The sequence below is a fragment of the Homo sapiens genome, chromosome X (genome assembly GCF_000001405.40).
Source record: "Homo sapiens chromosome X, GRCh38.p14 Primary Assembly".
Taxonomy (NCBI): domain Eukaryota; kingdom Metazoa; phylum Chordata; class Mammalia; order Primates; family Hominidae; genus Homo; species Homo sapiens.
Genome location: NC_000023.11, coordinates 152,986,610 through 152,994,793, shown reverse-complemented (window position 1 = coordinate 152,994,793; position 8,184 = coordinate 152,986,610). Strand labels below are relative to the sequence as shown.

The following is an 8,184-nucleotide window of genomic DNA, read 5'->3' as shown; positions in this document are numbered from 1 at the left end:
CAGATCTCTTCACGCATTTTTTTAAGATTACCAGGGGATTTGTGTGCACCTTGAAGTGTGCTACCTGTGCCGCACCCACACCCTTTTCTGGAACAGTACTTTCGGGCCGCTGCAAGCCGCAGGACCTTCCCTCTGTGGAAGAAACCTGCTTTGGGAAACGACAGGAAGCAGTTTGGGTACTAGGTGCGTAATGTTTGGTCGTGAAATCAGGAGAATAATGGGAGAATGGAATATTTTCAGTCATCTGGCTCTCAGTGAGCAGCGAAAAAAAACTAATGCCCTTGTGAAATGCAGGCAGTAGCTGTATTTTTTGCCCTCCTCCCCTAGAACAGTCCAATAAAAAATAAACGAGGGCTATGACTCGTTTATAAGGGCGCTCACGTGGCCTATACGTTGCACTGGGTGATTTGCACCCGGCCCTTCACCCATGGGCTTGGGACGCCACAGCTCCCCTCCAATGAGGAAGAGCCACAGTGGCTGCTGGGCCAAATGGCACGTGGCGAGCCTGGCTGCCACCGTCGTCGGCACGGGGGTGGGTGGGGTGAGGAACCACCTTGCAGGAAGTAGGAGGGTTTATGTCACCAGTGCGCAACCGTGAGCGGGCCGTGTGCAGTTCCGCTCATGGGGTAGGGGGGCGGTCGTCACCAGACAACCTCTTCCCGCCACAGCCTCGTGGCGCAGTCAGCACGGAGGCGGCAGCCGCCATAGACGTGTGGTGGTCGCGCTGCGCGGGAACTCCGGCTTGGAGGCACCTCCGGCAGGTACGGAGCTGGACCCCGGGCTCGGACAGCAACCCAGATTACGGGGGAACCCCCCAGTAACTCTTGCTATTTTCCACGGGGTCTAGGGGCTGGTGGCCATAGGTTTCCCTGGAGGCGGGATCCCACTAGATCACACCCAGCACGCCAAGGAATCCCTGCCATTTCCAGGCAGAACTTCAGGGAGACCTGGCCGGGCGCGGTGGCTCACACCTGTAATCCCAGCACTTTGGGAGGCCGAGGCGGGTGGATCACCTGAGGTCAGGAGTTGGAGACCAGCCTGGCCAACATGGGGAAACCCCGTTTCTACTAAAAATACAAAAAGTAGCCGGGCGTGGTGGTGTACGCCTGTAATCCCAGCTACTCAGGAGGCTGAGGCCGGAGAATCACTTGAACCCAGGGGGCGGAGGTTGCAGTGAGCCGAGATACGCTACTGCACTCCAGCCTGGGTGACAAAGCCAGACTCCGTTTCAGAGAAAAACAAACAAACTTCAGGGAGACCTATTCCACCCTTGACCTGCCCGGAGACACTGCAGTCAGGATAGTAGCTCTTGGCCCTTGCCCTTGAGGGAAAGTGGCTTCGAACCTTCCCCTCCTAGATTCTGCCTGCTTCCACTGATGTCGGTGGTGTGGGTGTATGTAGATAACCGGGTGGGGATTGGGGGGAGCAGGGGAATGGAGGTAGGGGATTTGGGGATATCAGTTAGACTTGCCTCGGGGTAGGAGTTGGACTTGGTGAGGGGGCAGGGCTTGGGGTAGGAGTTGGACTGTGGGTGGGGGCAGGGCTTGAGGCACGAGTTAGACTTGGGTGGTGGAAGGGGTTAGACTTGGTGGGGGGCTAAGCTTGGGGTAGAGGTGCAACTTAGTTATAGGCAGAGTTTGGCAGCAGGGGTGCAGGTTTTGAGGTGGGGCTTAGGAAGGGTTGCAACATGGCTGTAGGGGCGGAGCTTGGGAGGGAATGGAGTTTGCAGTGGGGGTAGGGCAGCAACCTTACCTTAGGATCCCTTCTGCCCTACCAGCAGCCCCCCTGCCCCCACCCCCTACCTCCCTCCTCACCTCCCACCCCTCTCACCATTCGTCCCCCGACTCCTCCCCCCGCTCCGCTCCCTCTGTCAGTTGAGCAGTTTCTTCTATCCCTGCACCAGGGTCCTAGTGAACACCTATGCAGAGTCTGAATTGGCATGGCCTGGGCAGGGACATGTGTGTGGGACAGAATCACAGCAAAATACCTCTGCTTTGCCTTGGACAGATCCAGTGAAGCAGGACCCATCACGCCTGAGTCAGGAACTGCCTAACTGGATAGAGTTGAAAAGCAGAGCGAGTCTGAAGTGGCTGTGTTATTGCAGCATCCGCGCTGCCAGCAGGGCCAACCCAGCAAGGTGAGCAGCTGTGAGTTGGGCCCTGTTGGGAGGGGCTCTGGAACCCTGGCAAAGAGTGGGGAGAGGGGACTGCCTGCCAGGGTTCACAGACTCTGCAGGGTAGGGCCATCTCTAGGGCAAGAGTTGTTGGTTTCCTGCAGTCTGGCAGTGGGGACCTTATCTGGGTCCCTTTTCTGCCTGATTTCAGCTTCCACACAATTGAAACCATGAGCTCCTGTCCTTTCAGCACTCACTCCTCATGCCCATCTCGCCTTCCCTCTCCCACCCTCCTTTTTGCTAGTACGCTTTATTGGTTGGAGGCCAATGACATCACCTGTTGCTTTTCAAGGACCTTGGCCTTACCACATGACACTCCCCTGCAATAGCAACCCATGGTCCATGGTATTCTCTGTATCCATGGCAACACTGCAGCTTGTCACACAATCTCCACACCCACCACTCTCATTGCATTGCGCAGAGCTCAGCCATCTTTCTCATCCGTCAGGCATTCCTGAGAAAGAGGGCCACTCTACCTCTCTTGCTGCCAGCCTTCACTCCAGCAAGGAGGGTGCTGGGTGACCTGAGCCCACATAGCCCCGAGTGAGCAGTGAGGCTGTCTCCTGCCCTCTTCTGCCTGGAGGGCTCGTCAGTGTCCCCAGGTGTCAGGCCCTGCCTCCTGACGTTGGCCTTTTCACTACAGGCACCCGAAGCACACACAGCAGAGTCCTCTGGACTTTGAGGAAGAACCCACAGCAGGAGGAAGTCAGCAGGGAGTGGTGAGATGGGGAGATCTTTGCCTGGGGAGAACCTCCACACTCTACCCTCCCCAAAATGACTTGGGGAACCCTGGGAAGAAAGGACTCCATCCCTGCTTGGGGGTGGGGGCAGAGGAGGGGTGCTTGGGGGCGTAGGTTGGGGTGGGCATTAACAATGCTCTCATCCCATTTGCTTTGCAGGCTGTGTGAAACCTGGGACCACTTCTGCCTTCCTACGTGGCAGTGGCTCAGAGTTATTTGAGTGCTGTCAAACTGAGCTGATTGCTGCCCTAGTATTAGATCAGTCCATAGAAAGTGGGAGCAATGGCACTGACACTGCTAGAGGATTGGTGCAAGGGGATGGACATGGACCCCAGAAAGGCCCTGCTGATTGTAGGCATCCCCATGGAGTGTAGTGAGGTGGAAATTCAGGACACTGTGAAGGCAGGCTTACAGCCCCTGTGCGCATACAGGGTCCTAGGGAGAATGTTCAGGAGGGAAGACAATGCCAAGGCAGTCTTCATTGAACTGGCTGACACTGTCAATTACACTACTCTGCCCAGTCACATACCAGGAAAGGGTGGCTCCTGGGAAGTGGTGGTAAAACCCCGTAACCCAGATGATGAGTTTCTCAGTAGACTGAACTACTTCCTGAAAGATGAGGGCCGAAGTATGACAGATGTGGCCAGAGCCCTGGGATGTTGCAGCCTCCCTGCCGAGAGCCTGGATGCAGAGGTCATGCCCCAAGTTAGATCCCCACCTTTAGAGCCTCCGAAAGAAAGTATGTGGTACAGGAAACTGAAAGTGTTTTCGGGAACTGCTTCCCCTAGCCCAGGCGAAGAGACCTTTGAAGACTGGCTAGAGCAGGTCACTGAGATAATGCCCATATGGCAAGTGTCTGAGGTGGAGAAGAGGCGGCGTTTGCTGGAGAGCTTACGTGGGCCTGCTCTGTCAATCATGCGGGTGCTCCAGGCCAACAATGACTCCATAACTGTGGAGCAGTGCCTTGACGCCCTAAAGCAGATCTTTGGGGATAAAGAGGACTTTAGAGCCTCTCAGTTTAGGTTTCTGCAGACCTCTCCGAAGATTGGAGAGAAAGTCTCCACTTTCCTGCTGCGCTTAGAGCCCCTGCTGCAGAAAGCCGTGCACAAGAGCCCCTTGTCAGTGCGCAGCACAGACATGATTCGTCTGAAACATCTCTTAGCTCGGGTCGCCATGACCCCCGCCCTCAGGGGCAAGCTGGAGCTCTTGGATCAGCGAGGGTGTCCTCCCAATTTTCTGGAGTTAATGAAGCTCATTCGAGATGAAGAAGAGTGGGAGAACACTGAGGCAGTGATGAAGAATAAGGAGAAGCCATCAGGGAGAGGCCGGGGGGCCTCCGGTAGACAGGCAAGAGCAGAAGCCAGTGTCTCTGCACCTCAGGCCACCGTGCAGGCAAGGTCTTTTAGCGACAGCAGCCCCCAGACCATACAGGGAGGCTTACCCCCATTAGTGAAACGCAGGCGGCTGTTAGGCAGTGAAAGCACTAGGGGAGAAGACCATGGCCAGGCCACGTATCCCAAGGCTGAAAACCAGACTCCAGGCAGGGAGGGGCCACAGGCTGCAGGAGAGGAGTTGGGAAACGAGGCAGGGGCTGGGGCCATGAGCCATCCCAAGCCCTGGGAAACATAGGCTCAGAAGACCGAAGCACTCCTTCCCCTGGCAGGCAGCAGGGACATTTGAACAAGGGGAAGGGGCAGCTTACACTAACAGGGAACTTGACTGGGGCAGAGGGACAGGGAAGCCAGGTCGAGATCAAGCCCCCTTACTTTCCACCAGCTGGAAGGGACTTCACCAACCAAGACCAAATAGCATCTGGTTCAGTGGGGGCCGGGCCCATAGCCCCTAACAGGTACAGGAGACACAAGCGGGGAACCACTACACTTAGCACATGGGGTGCCTGGGCTTCAGATGGGGACCCCAGCGAAGCAGGGGCTGAAGAAGGTGTGGCTGGGGGCTCTGGCCTGGTCCTCTGGACACCCCCAAATATCTACCCTGTGGACTTTGAGCTGAGCATGCCCACTGGCACCCAGGCCACGTGGGACCTGGAGGAGCCTGCCTGGGGCCTGCCTCTGCCAGAAGGAGCCAGGGCTGCTGAGGAAGAGCTGTGGGGCAGAAGTGAAGCCCCGCAGGGGAGGCCACAGGGTCCAGCCTGTCTTTAGGATCATCTACACTGCATGAGGGGAGCCCCAGGAAGGCAGCATTCATAAGCCCCTGCACCAGTGAGGAAGAGAAAGAGGAGGAGAATTAAGAAGAGGATGATCGGGAGGAGGAAGAGGAGAATAAGGAGGAGCAGGAGGAAGAGGGGGAGGAGAAGGAGGAAGAGGGGGAGGAGGAAGAGGGGAAGGAGGAGGAAGAAGTGTAAGAAGAGAAGAGAGGATGTGTTGGGGGTGGGTAGTTGTTTTTGGTTTGCGTCATCATCAGGCCCGGGCTCTGCTCACTGCTGTTCCGTGTCAAGAACTCCACCTCTGCTTTGCCGGTGTAGATCTCGGCCAGTGGCTGCTTGTTCTCTTGGGGATGTGTGTGTTTTTATCTGAGCAGCTCCTTTCCAGAGTACCCCAGCGCAGTTCCAGGAGACGGTGGGAAGGAGGCATGGCAGACGCTCACCTTGTGACTGTGACCTCGACTGCAGGAGGACCAACCAGACACGGGAAGGAGCAGGGCTGCCTGAGGCTCCCCAGGAAGCTTTGTGCTTTGGCGTTCCACCCCTGCTGTTACTCGTGACTCAGTTTCCTCAACTTGGTGGGGTGTTCCCTGCTATGTTTTCCAGCATCCTGTGACTGTCCTGTGCAGTCTATAGGGCAGGGCCCTGCCCCAGCGGGTGGGCTCAGGAGGGGGTTCCCTGAAGCGAGTACACATTGCCAGAGCCCACCATCCTGGCAAGAGGTGGATCCTGGGGCCCTATGGAAGGAGGGATGTGGTGGGGGGGGCCACACTGAGGGAGGGGCCGGGGACTTGTGACCTGTAGTGGCTGTTTGCAGTTTCTCTCTGTGTTAGATTCCCTTTTCTTCAGCAGTTTCAGTTCATGTTTCTCTTCAGTAAATTTTGTTCAGTGTTCCAGTGGTGTCTTGCCTCTGCTGTGTGAAACTGGGGTGGGAGGTGGTCTGCTGGGGATGGGGCCACAGTGGCCAGGCTGACATCGAGGTGTGTGTGGGGCAGGGTCTATGAGGGCCTGTGGGGTGCCTTGGGCTGCATGGAGCCTGGCAACAGGATGCTGGTGGTCATGAGCAGTGACTGGCTGGGTACCAAAGGCACTCCAGGTGTCCTCAGGAATAAGTGACTTGGACATTGAAGGCTGGGCAAGGGGCAGCAGGTGGGTCCCAGGCCCCTGATCCCTGGCAGCACTGTAGGGGTGTGGCTCAAGGCTTCCGGAAGGGTCAGAGAGGCCACGTGTGCAACCAAGGCCAGCAACCGAGGTCAGAGAAGAGCCCCAGGAGGGCCTGGACAGGCAGTCAGAGGCCCTGTGAAGAGCTGTGTGCAGGACTCGGGGTGGGGTAGGGGCTGGTGTGTGCCCATCCTCCCAGATCAGCCCGCAGGTGGCCAGCCTTGGCCTAGCCACTGAGGGATGTTTGGGGACAGTGTGTGTGTGATGGCCAAGGGGACAGAGTGTGGGCGAGAAAGGGATCCCAAGTGCTCATGTCTTGGGGAGGGGGAGAGGAAGGGCGGGGGAGCTGCACTTCATCCTGGGTCCTGTCCTGCTCCCTTCCCAGTGTACTGGGAGGCGCTCTACTCCTGTGTCCTGGGAGCAGGCAGTGGGCCATGAGCAGGAAGCCTAGATGGCCCTGGGGAGTGACCCCTTTCTGTCCTGCATCCCCGAGGCCCTCTGAGCCCTGGATGCTGCCTGAGGAGGGCTCCCTCAGGATGGACGGCGCTGCTAATCCAGACACCCCTCCTTCAGCACTGTGGCCAGAGGGGCAGTTCTTGGTGGGGGCCTGAGGATCCTGGAACCCGCCCTCCTGAGCCCTCCTGGGACTGGCTCTCTCTCCCAACAGGCCAGGGAGCTCGCCACAAATGGAGGGTAGTCCTCGATCAGCCATTTAACTAGCCCAGAGTCTGTGGGCGACAGAACTGGGACAAGTGATAGGCCCCTCCCTGCACATGTGTGGGGAGGGGACGGGATCATTGACTTGGACGTGGCGAGGGTCTCCCGGGGCTCACTCAGTCTGTGTCCACACACTTCCTCCGGCTGTTCTGGAGCACAGAGCCTCCGGCCATCCCCATGGCTCAGATGATAGCCAGGCTCCCCCAAAGCAGCCTCAGAGCCAATGCTGGGAATGGGTGGCTGCCCACCTGGGCTGAGGAATCCTGGATCTAGGCGACCTGTCTGCTTGAGCGGAGCTGCAGTCAGCAGGTCTGCAGGGCGGCAGGGGCCCTGGGAGACACTCGGCATACACAGGCCAGTGCAGGCATGGGAGGGGTAGTTTTGCGGGGCTGTCGGGGAGGGGCAGGGGGCGGCAGGTCTCTGGGGCTGGGCCTGCAGCCTCCCCGGCCTGAAGGTGCTTAACCGGTGTCTCAGGGACCCTTGTAGTGTGTCCCATCGGGGTGCCCTGCAGGCATGCCTGGGGCCCCCACTGTGCTCTGTTCTCCCTGCCTTCTTCAGGCTGGGCACAACCCCAGCATGTCCGTCCCTTGTGTCTCAGCAGGGCCAAGTCAACTGCTCACTTTCCAAGGGCCCCTCCAGATTTTGGGGACAGGGCAAGAGGAGAGGGCATAGAGCTTGGCTGACCTTGCCAGGGCCTGTCAGGGCTCCTTGGTTTTCCCTGTTCAGAGTGGACCTGTGTGTGCCGTGATTCCCAAGCAGGTGTGAGTGTGAGTGAGCGGGTGTGTTTGAGCGTGTGCGTGTGTGTGTCAGTGTGAGCATGTGCATGAGTTTCTGAGAATGTGTGTGAATCCAAGTGACAGAATGTGACTGCATCACTGAGCGTGTGTGAGTGGGAGGGTGTGGGGGAATGAGGCTGTGCCATTGAAGGTGAGCATGCATGTCGCTGAATGTGTGTGACACTGTGAGTGTGTCAGTGTGTGTCAGTGTGTGTGTGAGTTTGTGAGTCATTGTGCGTGCGTGCGCTGACTGCAAATGTGGGTGTGTCAATGAGCAGGCATGAATGCGTCATTCAATGTGTGTTTGTCACTCAATGTGTGTGCGCATGTGAGTGTGTCTGGAACATGAGTGTGTGAGTGAATGTGTGTGTGACTGTGTCAGTGGGCATGTGAGCACACAGGCTGGACAGTTGGGTTGTGAAACCCGGAAGGGATCTAGCCAGGGAGTCTGGAAGG

The 8,184-nt window shown here is 57.7% G+C and overlaps 1 protein-coding gene across 6 annotated transcripts, besides 1 other annotated feature; it reads left to right on the top strand.

Annotated features, from left to right (window-relative positions):
• PNMA5 (PNMA family member 5) lies at nt 678-5,970 on the top strand. 6 transcript variants are annotated; one of them, XM_017029252.2, is made up of 4 exons: nt 678-761; nt 2,008-2,137; nt 2,817-2,878; nt 3,073-5,970. In XM_017029252.2, the coding sequence occupies exon 4, from the start codon at nt 3,196-3,198 to the stop codon at nt 4,540-4,542; it is 1,347 nt and encodes a 448-aa protein (XP_016884741.1). In that variant the 5' UTR covers nt 678-761; nt 2,008-2,137; nt 2,817-2,878; nt 3,073-3,195; the 3' UTR covers nt 4,543-5,970. The 6 variants fall into 6 exon arrangements, with proteins under 6 accessions (XP_016884741.1, NP_001171853.1, XP_016884742.1 ...); NM_001184924.2 differs by having other exon boundaries at nt 2,817-2,892; XM_017029253.2 differs by lacking the exons at nt 678-761; nt 2,008-2,137 and adding an exon at nt 2,577-2,716.
• Nucleotides 4,442-4,941: an enhancer, noted in NCBI's record as "H3K4me1 hESC enhancer chrX:152158397-152158896 (GRCh37/hg19 assembly coordinates)". NCBI's record gives its function as "activates a minimal SCP1, AML or CMV promoter by ChIP-STARR-seq in naive H9 embryonic stem cells {active_cell/tissue: H9 hESC(naive)}" and the evidence as "EXISTENCE:reporter gene assay evidence [ECO:0000049][PMID:30033119]".